The sequence below is a fragment of the Homo sapiens genome, chromosome 10 (genome assembly GCF_000001405.40).
Source record: "Homo sapiens chromosome 10, GRCh38.p14 Primary Assembly".
NCBI classification, from domain to species: Eukaryota; Metazoa; Chordata; class Mammalia; order Primates; family Hominidae; genus Homo; species Homo sapiens.
The window spans coordinates 43,464,955-43,483,465 of record NC_000010.11 but is presented as its reverse complement, the minus strand read 5'-3'; the positions used below and the strand labels follow the sequence as shown (position 1 = coordinate 43,483,465).

Sequence of the window (18,511 nt, the reverse complement as noted above, 5' to 3'; positions counted from 1 at the left end):
GAGTTCAAGAGCAGCCTGACCAACATGGTGAAACCCCGTCTCTACTAAAAATACAAAATTAGCCGGGCATGGTGGCGCATGCCTGTAATCCCAGCTACTTGGGAAGCTGAGGCAGGAGAATTGCTTGAATCCAGGAGACAGAGGTTGCGGTGAGCCAAGATCACGCCATTGCACTCCAGCCTGGGCAATAAGAGCGAAACTCTGTCTCAAAAAAGTAACAACAAGAAAAGAAAAGAAAAGAAGATAAAATATCAATTATTTGCTGTTCAATGAAATATCACTTCTAGGCAAAAGATTTCTCATCTTTATTGGGTGTTCTCACCCCAACCTGGGTTGTTTCTGCTATGGAACGAGTCCAAGAAGGTGAAGGTTTCTGAGCCTTCAGGATGTTGACAAGGGTTTCCTCTATGTTGTCTCTCTGACATTTAGTGAAGTTGGGATTCTGGTAAAAGCTTTCATTATATTCATAGGGTTGCTCCCTTGTGTGTGTTCTCTGATGTGTTGTGAGGGATGACTTCTGGTAGAAGGTTTTCCCACATTCACTACATGCATAGGGTTTCTCTCCTGTGTGGGTTCTCTGATGTACTGTGAGGGATGACTTGTGGTAGAACATTTTCTCACATTCATTACATTCATAGGGTTTCTCCCCTGTGTGAATTCTCTGATGTTCTCTAAGTTTTGACTTCACAGAGAAGGATTTTTGACATTCATTGCATTCAAAGGGTCTCTCTCCTGTGTGAGTTCACTGATGATTAATGAAGTTTGGCTTCTGGGAGAAAGTTTTCCCACATTCCTTACACTCATAGGGTTTCTCGCCAGTATGTATTCTCTGATGTACTTTTAGAGCTGACCTATCACCAAAGGCTTTCTGACATTCATTACATCCATAGGGTTTCTCTCCTGTGTGTGTTCTCTGATGTACATGAAGATTTGACTTCTCACAGAAGTTTTTTCCACATTCATTACATTCATAGGTTTTGTCCCGTGTGTGTTCTTTGATGTACTGCAAGGCATGACCTATATCCAAAAGTTTTCCCACATTCAGTGCATTCATAGGGTTTCTCTCCTCTGTGTATCCTCTGCTGTAGGATAAAAGAGGATTTATGGCTGAAGGTTTTCCCACATTCACTACATTCATAGAGTTTTTCTTCTGTATCTGTTTTCTGATATACAGAATGCTTTGGCTTACAGCAAAATGTACTAGCATACTGATTAATTTTATAGGCATTCTTTCCTATATGTGTTTCTTGATGTTGAGTGAAATTTGGCTTCTTGCAGAATACTTCCAAATGTCTACTACAGTCAAGTTTTCTCTCCTCTGTAACTTTGTAGAATGAGGAGTGATTTCTTGCCAAAACTATTCTCACTCGCATTACACTCATAGTATTTCATCTCCATAACCCTGTGGTGTTTATTTACAGGTGGCCTCTCACCAGACCTCCTCTCACATTCATTGAATTCATGGTGACTCTTCCTTATGTGAGTTCTCTGATGAACAATGAATATTGGTCTATCGGAAAAGGCTCTCACATGTTCATTATATTCACAGGGTCTCCCATGAGCACACTCTCTTATGGGTACTGCAGGCTGCCTCTTCATGAAAAGCCTTCCCACACTGATTGTATTCAAAACACTGCTTAAGAGTTTGAATATACTGATGCCTAAATAAGTCCTCATTCTGAGAGACGGCTTTCCCATTTCCATCATATTCCAAAGGTTTCCCTCTGGCATAAGGATTCTCACGCTTCATACAGAGGAGAAATTTCCCACGTACATTACACTCAGCAGGGTTCCTTACAAAGGAGCTTCTATTACTAATAATTAATTCTGAAATATTATTCAAATTCATTCCAGATGAGTCACAGTTGCCACGTATTTTTCTTGATAGAATGGGGTTTGTGTCAAGAGAAAATGTTTTTCCTAATACACCATTTCTGTCCATAGTCAGTGTTTTATTGTTGACAAAATCAACTTTCTGCAAATGCTGGTCTTGATTTTCCTGTCTCTTCTCCATCAGGTCATCATCTATGCAGCAGTCTAGAAATAATAATAAGTTATCACAGATTATAAATGTTAACATATTTTTCATGAAAAAGAGACATATTCACATGCTTTTTTTTTCTTTTTTTTTTTGGCACAGTGTCTGGCTCTGTCACCCAGGCTGGATTGTGCAGTGGTGTGATCATGGCTCACTGCAGCCTCAACCTCCCAGGCTCAGGTGATGCTCCCACCTCAGCTTCTCGAGTAAATGGGATTACAAGTATGTACCACCATGCCTGGCTAATTTTTTGTATTTTTTGTAGAGATGGAGTTTTTTGCCTTGTTACTCAGGCTGGTGTCAAACTCCTGTTGCCCAGGCTGTAATGCAGTGGCAGCATCACAGCTCACTGCAGCCTTGACCTCCTGGGCTCAAGAAATCCACCTGCCTCGGCTCCCAAAGTGCTGAGATTACAGGCATGAGACACTGCACCCGGCCCAGGCTGTTCTTATAACAGGATCATATGCATACCTTTATTCATCTAGAATATCATCATCTAACTCATAGTCTGAGATTTCACTTATGCGATCAATTATACTGTAATTATTAGAGTCTACAGTGGTTCTGCTTCATCTTCTGATTTGCCTAATAATTGTGAAGAGTCTTCCTCTTGTCAATTTTCTACTCTTTGCAATTAATGGAAGAAAATAAAAGCTCTGAACTCTCAACTGTGCCCATTGAATTATTAAAAAAAAAAAAGAGAGAGAGAGAGAGGTGGGCGCAGTGGCTCACGCCTGTAATCCCAGCACTTTGGAAGGCCAAGGAAGGTGGATCACCTGAAGTCAAGCGTTCCAGACCAGCCTGGCCAACATGGCAAAACCCCATCTCTACTAAAAATACAAAAATTAGCCAGGTGTGGTGGTGTGCATCTGTAATCCCAGCTACTCGGGAGGCTGAGGCAGGAGAATCGCTTGAACCCGTGAGGCAGAGGTTGCAGTGAGCCGAGATCATGCCACTGCATTCCAGCCTGGGTGACAGAGTAAGACTCCATTTCAAAAAATAAAAAAATAATAATAAAAAGTGGCCAGGTGCGGTGGCTCACGCTTGTAATCCCAGCACTTTGGGAGGCTGATGGGGGTGGATCACGAGGTCAGGAGCTCGAGACCAGCCTGGCCAACATGGTGAAACCCTGTCTCTACTCAAAATACAAAAATGAGCTGGGTGTGGTGGTGCGCACCTGTAATCCCAGCTACTCAGGAGGCTGCAGCAGGAGAATGGCTTGAACCTGGGAGGTGGAGCTTGCAGTGAGCCTAGATTGTGCCACTGCACTCCAGCCTGGGCAAGAGAGCAAGACTCCATCTCAAAAAAAAGAAAAGAAAGAAAAGAAAAGAAAAGAAAAGAAAGAAGGAAGGAAGGAAGGAAGCAAGGAAGAAAGAAAGAAAAAGAAAGAAAGAAAGAAAGAAAGAAAGAAAGAAAGAAAGAAAGAAAGAAAGAAAGAAAGAAGGAAAGAAAGAAAAGAAAGAAAGAAAGAGAGTCAGGTGCAGTGGTTCACACCTGTAATCCCAGCACTTTGGGAGGCCGAGGCAGGAGGATCACCTGAGGTCAGGAGTTTGAAACCAGCCTTGCCAACACGGCAAACCCCGTCTCTAGTAACAATACAAAAAAATAAAAAATAGCCAGGACACAGTGGTGGGTGCCTGTAGTCCCAGCTACTCGGGTGGCTGAGGCAGTAGAGTCACTTGAACCCGAGAGGCGGAGGTTGCAGTGAGATGAGATCACACCACTCCAGTCCAGCCTGGGCAACAGAGTGAGACTCCATCTCAAAATGAAATGAATAAATAAAATAAAAACAACAAAAAAAAGAAAGAAACTACAAATAAGGTTTCTCCAGGCTTCTTTTATATTTTTGTCACAAGTAATGCTTCAAGCAGCTCAATAAGAAAATTGAAGGATGATGTAATAGTGACAGTGTTCTTTACTATTCTATTATCCTTACAAGCAATTCCATCATTCTTTTCTATTTTAGTTTATTTTACCACAGTTGGACATAATTGATGAGTAATGTTGAAATAATTGCTAAGAAATAACATACCAAAATGTTTCAAACTTAAGAAAAATAGATCACTAAAATAGTATCATGCTTCTTAGATTATAAATGGGACCAATTCACTCAAATGATAACAGCAAAAACAGAATGAGTTTCATTCAATTAAAAAATAAAAGTAGGCCAGGTACAGTGGATCAAGCCTCTAAACCAGCACTCTGGGAGGCAGAGGTGGAAGAATTGCTTAAGGTCAGGAGTTCAAGACCAGTCTGAGCAACACAGCAAGACCTCATCAGTACAAATTTATATATATATATACACACATATATATGTGTATATATGTGTGTATATATATATACACACATACATACATACATATATTCACACACACACACAAATATATATATATATAAATTTTCTCTTTGTTTATCTAAGTTAGAAAAAAAATTTTTTTGAGATAGGATCAAAAGAGATCGGCTACTGCACTCCAGCCTGGAAGACAAAGCGAGACTCCATCTCATTAAAAAAAAAAAGAAAAAAGAAAAAAGAACTGCATCAAAAATAAACTCAAAAGCTAAATTTGGGTCCACTGAGAGGTAACATTCTATTTTGTTTATTATTTGGACCATATATCATTTATATTCCTTTTATATTCTAAGGTTTCATGTTCACATTTCATATATGATTCTCAAACTCCATATAGCTTGATTTTTGTTTTGTTTTTACAGACAGGCTCTTACTCTGTCATCCAGACTGGAATGCAGTGGCATGATCATAGCTCACTGCAGCTTCAAACTCCTGGGCTCAAGCGATCCTCCCACTTCAGCCTCCCAAAACTGAGACTACTGGTGTATGACCATGCCTGGCTAATTTTTTTTTTATTTATTTTTGAGACAGAGTTTCGCTCTCGTTGCCCAAGCTGGAGTGCAATGGCGCAATCTCAGCTTACCACAACCTCCCCCTCCTGGGTTCAAGTGATTCTCCTGCCTCAGCCTCCCGAGTAGCGGGATTACAGGCATGTGCCACCACGCCCGGCTAATTTTGTATTTTTAGTAGAGAAGGGGTTTTTCCATGTTGGTCAGGCTGGTCTCGAACTCTCAACCTCAGGTGATCCACACGCCTTGGCCTTCCAAAGTGCTGGGATTCTAGGCATGAGCCACCGCGCCTGGCCTAATTTTTTATTTTTTGTACAGATGGGTCCTCATTGTGCTGCCTGGGCTGGTCTCAAACTCTTGACCTCAAGCAATCCTCTTGGGTTGGTCTCCCGAAGTGCTGGGATTACAGCAGTGAGCCACTGCACTGAGCCTATATAACTTGGTTTTTGAAAATCCAATTTGACAATATCCATCTTTTAATAAGATGGTTTAGCCCCTTTAACTGTATTATGATTTCTAAAATATCTGGATTGGTTTTCTCTTTTTCACTTAAGAGTTTCCAGTTTTTCTAATTTTTACCTGCCTTTCCCCACTTTTTCATTTTTTTTTTTTCTTTTCGAGATGGAGTCTCGCTCTTGTCACCCAGGCTGAAGTACAATAGTGCGATCTCTGCTCACTCCAACGTCTGCTGCCCCAGTTCAAGCTTCTCCTGCCTCAGCTTCCTGAATAGCTGGGATTACAGGCATCCGCCACCACACCCGGCTAATTTTTGTACTTTTAGTAGAGACGGCGTTTCACCATATTGGTCAGGCTGGTCTCGAACTCCTGACCTCAGGTGACCAACCCGCCTCGGCCTCCCAAAGTGCTGGGATTACAGGCCTGAGCCACCAAGCCCGACCTCATTTTTTTTTTTTTCAGTCTAATCCAACACATTTAATTTTTTTCTTTTCCATTTTCTTCTTTTTAAAAGTTTAGAAGTTACAAGTATTACTTTCTTTTAGCATTTACTCATTACATGTTACCATTTATATTTAATGCAACATTATTTCGTCTTAACAATGAAAGGAATTTAGAAGCCAGGCGCAGTGGCTCACACCTGTAATCCCAGCACTTTGGGAGGCCAAGGGGGGCAGATCACTTGAGGCCAGGAGTTTGAGACCAGCTTGGCCAACATGGCAAAACCCCATCTCTACTAAAAATACAAAAATTAGTCAGGCGTGGTGATACACACCTATGGTCCCAACTACTAGGGAGGCTGAGGTATGAGAATCTCTGAGCTGGGAGGCAGAGGTTGCATTGAGCCAAGATTGCACCACTGCACTCTAGCCTGTGAGACTGAGAGAGACTGTCTCAAAAAAAAAAAGAAATAAAGAAAGAAAAAGAAAAAAAAAAGAAAGGATTTTAGAACACAATTCAGATCAACTGGTAACTGATTCACATGTTGGGTCATTTTTCAGTATTTTATTTTTATTGTTTTATATCCAACTGGGCATCATTACTATTTTATACAAAGAATATTTGTTTAAATTTATGTGTCTATCTCTTATTTCTTCCCAAAACTGTTTCTCCCCATTTTCTCCCATCCAGTTAATGGTATCATCACACAGCCAGTGCCTCAGCATAAAACCTTTGAGATCATGCTTATTATCTTTTTCTTATACCCATAATCCAATTTAGCAGCAAATTCTGTTTTGGCTACAACTTCCGAATATATCGGCACCTCAGCGAGCAGTCTCTCTGACAGCATCTCTCACATGCTCCCCATCACCCCTTGACTTCCACGCAGCCTGGCTCACTGCTGTCCTGCACACGTGACACTGTGGCCTAAGGTTCACAGCACAGGGTATACCATCTGGCCAGAATATTCCACTGACACACAATTCAAATCTGTGTTTATTAAACTACTGACTTCAAAAAGGCCCTTGCATAAAGCACACACTACATCTCATTCTCTTCTACCAACATAACACAGCCATGGTGTTAGAGCTATATCTCTAACACAGATGGAAATGCCAACATCGTAGCTGCCAAATTAATACATATTGAATAAATACATAATATATGATGAAAAGAAGATAACTGAAATTGATATAGAAGGAAGAGTCAAATGACATTCATTTGACTAAACTGAGAGAGGCAAGGATTAAGTTTTGGAAAAAAACAAAGACCATTTAGCTGTTATCTGCTAGTGTGTAATAACATATACATCTGAGGCAAGCAGGCCAACTCTTCTTAGTCACTTCCAAAGTTCTGGTAACTCTAAAAACATATCTCTGAAAAATTTCAAAGATGTCAATATGTGAAGTATCTCCCTAGGATCAAATTTCTCCCTGGGATTATAGCTTCCTATATATTTATTAACTCACCTAGGTGGCTCTGACTTGGGGACTCTTCCTCTAATATCCACAGCACCTGTCCATGCTCCAACTTGCAAACCACCTCTGGTTTGGTAATGCAATATCCTGTGAATGAAAATGACACAGGACGTGGGCCAGATAGCCTGCGGAGGACAAAGGTGTGCCTGCACAAAAATAGGTCCACTTGAGCATTTCATTACAGAAAACACCACAGATATTCTTTACAGTGCCCAGAAGGGATCAATCAAGCTTCAACTCCTGAGTCTCAAGCCTTTAACTCATATTCATACAAAGAAACCATCTGTAATCAGCAGCTAAAAAGGAAATAAATGTTATTTGAAGCTGCAAATTACATAATCCTTACCCACTGAGAGGAGGAGGCTGTAGTTCTCCAGCATCATGTCTCTGTACGGGGTCCTCTGAGCAGAGTCCAGATGCTGCCACTCCTCCTGGGTGAAGCCCACAGCCACATCACTGAAGGACACTGATCCCTAGAACAGTACATTTGTTTTCATTCTACAGTGATCAGAAGTGGAGAGCATACAACATGTGTGAGATCTAACACCTTGTCATGTTCACTGTTGATAGTTGAAGAGAAAATGCTACATAGGATGCCTACTATTGATATTATACATTGTAGGAAAATGAGAAATCCTGGTATGAGGACTCTGCCGGTATATTAATTTTTTTTTTTTTTCAGACGGGGTCTTGCGCTATCACTCAGGCTAGAGTGCTGTGGCATGATCACAACTCACTGCAACCTTGACCACTGGGGCACAAGCGATTCTGCCACCTCAGCCTCCCAAGTAGCTGGGACAACAGGCACGCACCACCACACCCAGCTAATTGTTTATTTGTAGAGACAAGGTCTCACCATGTTGCCCAGGCTGGTCTTGAACTCCAGGCTCAAGCGATCCTCCTGCCCTGGCCTCCCAAAGTGCTGGGATTACAGATGTGAACCACTAGGCCCGGCCTACTTTCTTAATTCATACAAAAATTATACGAGGTCCTGCTAGTGATAGACGCAGGAGGCAGATAAGGGAGGGTCCCCGGAGAATCTCCAACCAACCCCACAAGTGTTTACATCAGATGCTTTTCTGCAGATAAGGGAATCTGCCCAGGGTCTTGTCTGCACATGCCTGCAACAGACTGGGGACCCACCTGCACACTGGGAGAATGAGGTGGAGGCAGGGGAAGTTTGCGCCTTGTACAGGGGGGAGGAGCCTGGCCTCTTAAGATACTGTGTGGTGGCCTGGTATTCAATCTGTGAGGTGGCAGTCTTTTAGTAGAATTGATATTTTTTAAAAAATTGATTAAAAAAAAAACCTAGGCTGAGTGTGGTGGCTCATGCCTATAATCCCAGCACTTTGGGTGGCCAAGGCAGGCAGATCACTTGAGGTCAGAAGTTCAAGACCAGCCTGGCCAATGTGGTGAAACCCTGTCTCTATTAAAAATACAAAAATTAGTCAAGCTTGGTGGTGCGCACCTGTAATTCCGGCTACTGGGGAGGCTGAGACAGGAGAATCACTTGAACCTGGGAGGTGGAGGTTGCAGTGAGCCAAGATCACGCCACTTCACTCCAGCCTGGGTGACAGAGCTAGACTCTGTCTCAAAAAATAAATAATAAATCATTTTTCCTTTTAGAGGCCAGGTCTTGCTGTTTTGCCCATGCTGGAGTACATTCACAGGCATGATCATTGCACACTACAGCCTCAAATTCCTGGGTTCAAGCAATACTCCTGCCTCAGCCTCCCAAGTACATGGGGCTCCAGGCATGTCACCCAGGCTGTAGTGCAATGGCACGATCTCAGCTCACCGCAACCTCCACCTCCCAGGTTCAAGCAATTCTCCTGCTTCAGCCTCCTGAGTAGCTGGGGTTACAGGGGCGCACCACCACGCCTGGCTCATTTTTGTATTTTTAGTAGAGACAGGGTTTCATCATGTTGGTCAGGCTCATCTCAAACTCCTGACCTCGGCCCACCTCAGCCTCCCAAAGTGCTAGGATTACAGGCTTGAGCCACACCGCACCCAGCCCCTGCTTTTTTTTTTTTGAAACACGGTCTTGTTCTGTCACCCAGGCTGGAATGCAGTGGCACAAACACAGCTCACTGCAGCTTTGACCTCCTGGGCTCAAGCAATCTTCTTACCTCAGCCTCCTGAGTAGCTAGGACTACAGATGCATACCACCATCCCCAGTTAATTTTTTTGCCTTTTCACAGAGACAAGGTTTCACCATGTTGCCCAGGTTAGTCTCTAACTCCTGGGCTCTAGCAATCTGCTTGCCTCAGCCTCCCAAAATACTGCAATTACAGGAATAAGTCACTGCATCGGGCAGATTTTTAAATTTTTGGAGAAATGGGGTCTCACTATGTTACCCAGGTTGGTCTCAAACTCCTGGGCTCAAGTGATCCTCCCACCTCAAGCCTCCCAAAGTGTTGTGATTACAGGCATAAGCCACCTTGCCCAGCCTGGCTGTTGTACTTAAGTTGCTTTTATAAAAGGTGGCGAAGGTAAGTTGATGTTTGGGTCTGGGGAAAAAAAAAAGGGGGCCTGTAATCCCAGCTACTCAGGAGGCTGAGGCAGGAGAATGGCGTGAACCCGGGAGGCGGAGCTTGCAGTGAGCTGAGATCGCGCCACTGCACTCCAGCCTGGGCAACAAAGCAAGACTCCATCTCAAAAAAAAGAAAAAAGGGAAAAAAGGTATGTCAAAAACAAAAATTATAAATGGGCTTATCTTGCTAGATATTACTGTTTATTATGAACTCCTCTAATAAAAAGAAAAATACCCCAGTGAAAAGAAAAAGTCCCAAAACAGAGTTAAATAGTGTCCTACGCCAGGCGCGGTGGCTCACACCTCTAGTCTCAGCACTTTGGGAGGCCGAAATGGGCAGATCACCTGAGGTCAGGAGTTCCCTGGCCAACATGGTGAAACCCCATATCTACTAATAATACAAAAAAATTAGACAGGCATGGCTACTCGGGAGGCTGAGGCAGAAGAATTGCTTGAACCCGGGAGGCAGAGGTTGCAGTGAGCCGAGATCATGCCACTGCACTCCAGTCTGGGGGCACAAGAGGGAAACTCTATCTCAAAAAAAAAAAAAAGTGTCCTAATATATGGTAAAGTCACCATATACAAAGGATGATCAACCTTTTTTTTTTTTTTTTTGAGACAGAGTCTCGCTTTGTCACACAGACTGGAGTGCAGTGGCACAAACATGGCTCACTGCAACCTCTACCTCCCAGGCTCAAGTGATCCTCCCGCCTCAGCCTCCCAAAGTGCTTGGATTACAGGCATGAGCCACTGCACCCACCCAGCCAATGATCAACTTATTAAATATGGTTGACATAATTATAAATGCTTATAAATTATAAATCCTTTATAAATTATAACAGAATAAGTTGGAAGGCTCCCTAGGAAACATACTCCAGGAAAAGGGCACATTTGGTACAAAGACAAAGGTGGTGTTATGCCTGGTACATCCAGCAAGAAGGCAAGTCGAGCTGGAGCATAGTGATCAAGAGGCTGAGAAGGAAGTGAAGTCACAGATGTAATGGATCACATAACCCACTGGTGGAACTTTGGCTTTTACTCAGTGAAAAATGTAGATGTTGGGCAGAGGATTGGCGCTTAGCAACCTGACTCTTCCTACACAGGTACTCTAAATGCTATGCCAGAGGCCAAGGTCTGAGCAGCAGCAAGACTGCTCTGCAACGGTTGCTGTAATCCAGGCAAAAGATGTCATAGAGAGGATTGCAAGAGGTCAGACTCTGTGGATATATTCTGGATGTATGCCCCAGAGGTTTTTCTGACAAATAAGATGTGTAAGACAAGAAAAAAACAGTTCAAAAATAATTCCAAGGGGTCTGCTATCAAACAAGAAGGGGAAGGAATGCTCCAGAGGTTGTGGGTTTGGGAGAGAAAATCCAAGAGGCCAGTTTTAATCATGTTGAGCTTGGGTCTATAAAATACTCAAGCAGAGATGCAGAGTGGACAGTTAACATATGCATCCAAAGTGTAAGAAGGAAATCTGAGCTGGAGAGATTACCAGGAGGGATCAGGCCCCAGAGAGTACTGCTGACAAAACATTGCCAAGGGAGAGGCCTCAGCCAGACAAAGTACAAGTGATAACAAATGGAGGCAGCCAAATGCCAAGGTAAATAGGGGCAGGTCCCCAGTGAAACCTCCAAGCCAAAGACAGTTTAAAGCCTGAAAGCCAAGATACAAGTTAAATCCTTGGACCAGACTGAGGACTTATCTTCCTCTTTGGCATGCTTTCCTCTAATCCCCACTCTTCACCTATTTTATATATAGCTACCCTTTCCTAATTGGTTTTCTACACTGTTATGCCCACCATTGAGTGGTGTCTTCACTTTAACATTTTTTGCATACTCACAAACCAATGAGCACACACTGTCCATTCTGAGTGCTATAAAGAAAGACCCCAGACTCAGTCAGTAGAGGGGGAGACAGTTTGACTTCAGAGAGAGACAATTTGACTTCAGAGAGATGGCTTGACTTCAGGGAAGGGGCAACCTGACCTCAGGGAAGGCAACCTGCCCTTCCCGTCCCCTTTCCAGTTCCCCTCTCTGCTGAGAGCCATTTTCATTGCTCAATAAAATTCTCTGACTTCACCATCCTTCAGTTTGCCCATGTGACATTCTTCTTGGACACCAGACAAAAGCTCAGGATCCACTGAGTGCGGGTACCTAGAAAGACTGTCACGCTGGCCCTTTGTCCTCACCAGAGGAGGGCAGCCACCCCATGCAACGAGACAAGGGGCCAACTGAGCTGCAAACACACAGCTGTCTGCAGACAGCAAAACTAACAGAGCACCGTAACACTCCCTCTAGGGTTTTGGGGTAGTGGGCACCCTCGCCTTGGCACCGCCATCCAAGTGTGCGAGCAAGTGTGGGATCTGGCTGGCCATTCTGGACACGGAGCTTGCTCCTGCCAGTGCCCGGAGCAGCCAGCCAGATCCCGCACTCACTCACGTGCTCCATCCTGCAAGGGGTTGAGCGCAATGGGCCGAGTAAATGGGACAGCCCTGTCACGAGTCCAACAAAGGGGCCAAGAAAAATCCTGCATCACAATGACCAAGGACTACACATAAACATTCAGAGACAGGAAGAAAAGGAGGAACCAGCAAACGATGAGAGAAGGAAAGTTAAAAGTTAAGGTCGGCAACATGGTGAAACCCCGTCTCTACAAAAAAATACAAAAATTAGTGTGGTGGTGCATGCCTGTAGTCCCAACTACTCAAGAGGCTGAGGTGGGAGGATCACTTGAACACCTGAGCCCAGGATGTCGAGGCTGCAGTGAGCTATGATCGTGCCACTGTACTCTAGGCTGTGTGACAGTGAGACTCTGTTCAAAAAAAAAAGGAAAAAGTTAAGGCAAAGTGCAGTGGCTCTCACCTGTAATCCCAACACTTTGGGAGGTCAAGGTAGGAAAATTGCTTGAGCCCAGGACTTCCACACCAGCCTGGGCAACATGGCAAATCCCATCTCTACAATAAATAGAAAAATTGCCCGGGTGTGCTGGCTCACGCCTGTAATCCCAGCACTTTGGAAGGCCGAGGCAGGTGGATCACCTGAGGTCGGGAGTTCAAGACCAGCCTGACCAACATGGAGAACCCCATCTCTACTAAAAATACAAAAAAATTAGCCAGGTGTGGTGACGCATGCCTGTAATCCCAGGTACTTGGGAGGCTGAGGCAGGAGAATCGCTTGAACCTGGGAGGTGGAGGTTGCGGTGAGGTGAGATCACGCCATTGCACTCCAGCCTGGGCAACAAAAGTGAAACTCTGTCTCTAAATAAATAAATAGAAAAATTAGCTGGGCATAGTGGCATGCACCTGTAGTCCCAGCTACTCAGGAGGCTAAGGTGGGAGTATCACCGAAGCCCAGGGAGCTCAAGGCTAAAGTGAGCCGTGATGGCACCACTGCACTCCAGCCTGGGCAACAGAGTAAAACACTGTTCCCGCAACCAAAAAAAAATTAAAAGGGAAAGTTAAAAGAGTGTGGTGTCCTGTAAGCCAAGTGAAGAAAGTCAACCAGAAGGGAAAAACACAGGCATACCTCAAAGATAATGTGCATTCAGTTCCGGACCACTGCAATAAAGCAAATGTCACTTGAGTCATGCGAGTATGTTGGTTTCCCATGCATGTGAAAGTTATGTTTTCACTATACTATAGTCTATTAAGTGTGCAATAGCATTATGTCTAGTAAACCAATGTACATATCCTAATTTTTTTTTTTTTGGAAGACAGAGTCTCGCTCTGTTGCCCAGGTTGGAGAGCAGTGGTGTGATCTCAGCTCACTGCAACCTCTGCCTCCTGGGTTCAAGAAATTCTCATGCCTCAGTCTCCTGAGTACCTAGGATTACAGGAGTACACCACCACGCCCACCTAATTTTTCTATTTTTTGGTAGAGACAGGGTTTCACCATGTTGGCCGGGCTGGTCTCAAACCCTTGGCCTCAAGTGATCCACCCACTTTGGCCTCCCAAAGTGCATGAGCCACCGTGTACAGACATATCCTAATTTTAAAATACTTCATGGCCTAAAAATGCAGGCCAAGTACATTGGTTCATGCCTGTAATCCCAGCACTTTGGAAGGTTGAAGTGGGAGGATCATTTGAACCAAGGAGCCCAAGATCAGCCTGGGCAACATAAGGGACCCTGTCTCTTATTTATTTAAAAAAATAAATAAATAAATGATGGCCAGGCGCGGTGGCTCACGCCTGTAATCCCAGCACTTTAGGAGGCCAAGGCTGGTGGATCACCTGAGGTCAGGGGTTCGAGACCAGCCTGGTCGACATGCTGAAAGCCCGTCTCTATAAAAATACAAAAATTAGCCGGGTGTGGTGCACGCCTGTAGTCCCAGGTGCTCAGGAGGCTGAGGCAGGAGAATCGCTTGAACCCGGGAGGCAGAGGTCACAGTGAGCCAAGGTCGCACCACTGCACTCCAGCCTGGGTGAAAGAGCCAGACTATGTCTCAAAAAATAAAGTAAAATAAAAGAAATGCTAACAATCATCTGAGCCTATAGTGAATCATAATCTTTTTGCTGGTAGATGGTCTTGCCTCAATGTTGATGACTGCTAGTGGTGGTTTGCTGAAGGCTGGGATGGCTGTGCAATTTCTTAAAATAAAAGGACAATTAAGTCTGCCACACTGATTGACTCTTCCTTTCTTTTTCTTTTTTTTTTTTTTTTTTTTTTTTTTGAGATAGAGTCTCACTCTGTAGCCCAGGCTGGAATGCAGTGGCACAATCTTGGCTCACTGCAAGCGCTGCCTCCTGGGTTCACACCATTCTCCTGCCTCAGCCTCCCGAGTAGCTGGGACTACAGGCGCCCACCACTACACCCAGCTAATTTTTTGTATTTTTAGTAGAGACGGGGTTTCACCGCGTTAGCCAAGATGGTCTCGATCTCCTGACCTCGTGATCCGCCTGCCTCGGCCTCCCAAAGTGGTGCTGGGATTACAGGCGTGAGCCACTGCGCCCGGCCTTTTTTTTTTTTTTTTTTTTTTTTTGAGACAGAGTTTCACTCTTGGTGCCCAGGCTGGAGTGCAATGGCGCGATCGCAGCTCGCCACAACCTCTGCCTCCCAGGTTCAAGCAATTATCCTGCCTCAACCTCCCGAGTAGTTGGCATCACAGGCATGTGCCACCATGGCCGGCTAATTTTGTATTTTTAGTAGAGACGGGGTTTCTCCATGTTGGTCAGGCTGGTCTCAAACTCCCGACCTCAGGTGATCCACCTGCCTCAGCCTCCAAAAGTGCTGGGGTTACAGGAATGAGCCACTGCACCCGGCCGGCTCTTCCTTTCACGAAAGATTTCTCTGTAGCATGAGATGCTGTTTAATTTTACCTATAGTAGAACTTCTTTCAAAATTGGATTCAATCCTCTAAAACCCTGCTGCTGCCTTATTAACTAAGTTTATGTAAGTCTAAATCCTTTGTTGTCATCTTAACAATGTTCACAGCATCTTCACCAGGAATAGATTACATCACAAGAAACAATTTTCTTATCTCACGCATAAGAAGCAACTCCTCATCTGTTCAAGTTCTAACATAAGATTGCAGCAATTCACTCACATCTGCAGGCTCCACTTCTAATTCTAGTTATGCTATTTCCACATCTGCAGTGACTTCCTCCACTGAAGACTTGAACCCCTCAAAGTCATCCATAAGGGTTGGATTCAAGTTCTTCCAAATTCCTATTAATGTTGTTAATTGGACCTATTCCCATGAATCGTAAATGGTCTTAGTGGCATCTTGAGCAGTGAATCCATTCCAGAAGGTTTTCAATTTACTTTGCCCAGATCCATCAGAGGGATCACTATCCATGCCAGCTATAGCCTTACAAATTTTTCTTTTCTTTTTTTTTTTTTTCTGAGATAGAGTCTCATTCTGTTGCCCACGCTGGAGTGCAGTGGCACAATCTCGGCTCACTGCAACCTCTGCCTCCCAGGTTCAAGCGATTCTCTTGCCCCAGCCTCCCGAGTAGCTGGGATTACAGGTATGCACCACCACACCCAGCTAATTTTTGTATTTTTAGTAGAGACAAGGTTTCACCATGTTTGCCAGGCTGGTATCAAACTCCTGACCTGAGGTGATCCACCAGCCTCGGCCTCCCAAAGTGCTGGGATTACAGGCATGAGTCACAACGCCTGGCTACAAATTTATTTCTTAAACAATAAAAGTTGAAGGTCGGGCGCAGTGGCTCACACCTGCAATAACAGCACTTTGGAAGGCCGAGGCAGGCAGATCACGAGGTCAGGAGTTTGAGACCAGCCTGGCCAATATGGTGAAACCCTGTCTCTACTAAAAATACAAAAATTAGCCAGGCGTGGTGGCGTGCACCTGTAGTCCCAGCTAGTCGGGAGGCTGAGGCAGAAGAATCACTTGAACCCGCGAGGCAGAGGTTGCAGTGAGCCAAGATTGTGCCACTGCACTCCAGCCTGGGCGACACAGCAAGACTCCGTCTCAAAAAAAGAAAAATAAAAAATAAAACTTGAAAGTCAAAATTACTCCTTGGCCGGGTGCGGCGGCTCATGCTTATAATCCTAGCACTATGGGAGGCTGAGGCAGGCAGATCACTTGAGGACAAGAGTTCAAGACCAGCCTGGTCAACATGATGAAACCCCATCTCTACTAAAAAAAAAATACAAAACAATTAGCTGGGTGTGGCAGCAGGCACCTGTAATCTCAGCTACTGAGGAGGCTGCGGCAGGAGAATCGCCAAACCTAGGAGGTGGAGGTTGCAGTGAGCCAAGATCACGCCATTGCAATCCAGCCTGGACAACAAGAGCTAAACTGTCTCAAAAAAAAAATTACTCCTTGATCCATGGGCTGTAGAATGGATGCATGCTAGTAAGCATGAAAACAACATTAATTTCATACCTCATAGCTCTTATGTGACTAGCTTGTCAATGAGCAGTAACATTTTGAAAGAAATATTTTTTCTGAACATTAGGACTCAATAATTTGTTTAAAATAATCAGTAAACCAGCTGGGCATGGTGGCTCACGCCTGTAATCCCAGCACTATGGGATGCCGAGGCGGGTGGATCACAAGGTCAGGAGTTGGAGACCAGCCTGACAAACATGGTGAAACCCCGTCTCTACTAATAATACAAAAATTAGCTGGGTGTGGTGGTGCGCACCTGTAATCCCAGCTACTCAGGAGGCTGAGGCAGGAGAATCAATTGAACCCAGGAGGCGGAGGTTGCAGTGAGCTGAGATCACACCACTGTACTCCAGCCTGGGTGACAAAGCAAGACTCCATCTCAAAAAAAAAAAAAAGAAAGAAAGAAAAAAAGAAAAGAAAACAAAAATTCAGTAAACCATGCTATAAACAAATATGCCAGCCAGGCACAGTGGCTCATGCCTGTAATCCTAGTACTTTGGGAGGCTGAGACGGGTAGATCACCTGAGATCAGGAGTTGGAGACCAGCCTGGCCAACATGGTGAAACCCTGTCTCTACTAAAAATACAAACAAGCTCCAGCTCCCTCTCCCTCTCCCTCTCTTTCCACGGTCTCCCTCTGATGCCGAGCCGAAGCTGGACTGTACTGCTGCCATCTCGGCTCACTGCAACCTCCCTGCCTGATTCTCCTGCTTCAGCCTGCCGAGTGCCTGTGATTGCAGGCGCGCACCGCCACGCCTGACTGGTTTTCGTATTTTTTTGGTGGAGACGGGGTTTCGCTGGGTTGGCCGGGCTGGTCTCCAGCTCCTAACTGCGAGTGATCCCCCAGCCTCGGCCTCCCGAGGTGCCGGGATTGCAGACAGAGTCTCGTTCACTCAGTGCTCAATGGTGCCCAGGCTGGAGTGCAGTGGCGTGATCTCGGCTCGCTACAACCTCCACATCCCAGCCGCCTGCCTTGGCCTCCCAAAGTGCCGAGATTGCAGCCTCTGCTCGGCGGCCACCCCATCTGGGAAGTGAGGAGCGTCTCTGCCTGGCCGCCCATCGTCTGGGATGTGAGGAGCCCCTCTGCCTGGCTGCCCAGTCTGGAAAGTGAGGAGCGTCTCTGCCCGCCCGCCATCCCATCTAGGAAGTGAGGAGCGCCTCTTCCCGGCTGCCATCCCATCTAGGAAGTGAGGAGCGTCTCTGCCCGGCCGCCCATCATCTGAGTTGTGGGGAGCACCTCTGCCCCGCCGCCCCGTCAGGGATGTGAGGAGCGCCTCTGCCCGGCCACGACCCCGTCTGGGAGGTGAGGAGCGTCTCTGCCCGGCCGCCCCGTCTGAGAAGCGAGGAGACCCTCTGCCCGGCAGCTGCCCCATCTGAGAAGTGAGGAGCCCCTCCGCCCGGCAGCCGCCCCGTCTGAGAAGTGAGGAGCCCCTCCGCCCGGCAGCCACCCCGTCTGGGAAGTGAGGAGCGTCTCCGCCCGGCAGCCACCCGGTCCGGGAGGGAGGTGGGGATCAGCCCCCGCCAGGCCAGCCGCCCCGTCCGGGAGGGAGGTGAGGGGATCAGCCCCCCACCCAGCCAGCCGCCCCGTCCAGGAGGGAGGTGGGGGGGTCAGCCCCCCGCCCGGCCAGCCGCCCCTTCCGGGAGGGAGGTGGGCGGGTCAGCCCCCCGCCCGGCCAGCCGCCCCATCCGGGAGGGAGGTGGGGGGGTCAGCCCCCCGCCCGGCCAGCCGCCCCGGGAGGGAGGTGGGGGGGGTCAGCCCCCCGCCCGGCCAGCCGCCCCGTCCGGGAGGGAGGTGGGGGGGTCAGCCCCCGCCCAGCCAGCCGCCCCATCCGGGAGGTGAGGGGCGCC

The 18,511-nt window shown here is 46.2% G+C and overlaps 1 protein-coding gene across 16 annotated transcripts in view; it reads right to left on the bottom strand.

The window, feature by feature from the left end:
- The window catches only part of ZNF487 (zinc finger protein 487), an 87,047-nt gene that overhangs the window by 40,429 nt on the left and 28,107 nt on the right, over positions 1-18,511 (bottom strand). For 7 of the 16 annotated variants that reach the window (NM_001355446.3, NM_001355445.3, XM_047425631.1 and 4 more), the window contains 3 exons: positions 7,619-7,745; positions 7,264-7,359; positions 285-2,037 (listed from right to left, as the gene is read on the bottom strand). In NM_001355446.3, coding sequence (NP_001342375.2) covers positions 1,544-2,037; positions 7,264-7,359; positions 7,619-7,652 — 624 coding nt within the window. In that variant the 5' untranslated portion in view covers positions 7,653-7,745 and the 3' untranslated portion in view covers positions 285-1,543. Of the gene's footprint in view, positions 1-284; positions 2,038-7,263; positions 7,360-7,618; positions 7,771-13,332; positions 13,467-18,511 lie in introns of those variants that run through there. The other 9 variants (XM_047425633.1, XM_047425632.1, XM_024448132.2 and 6 more) reach the window with 5 other exon arrangements.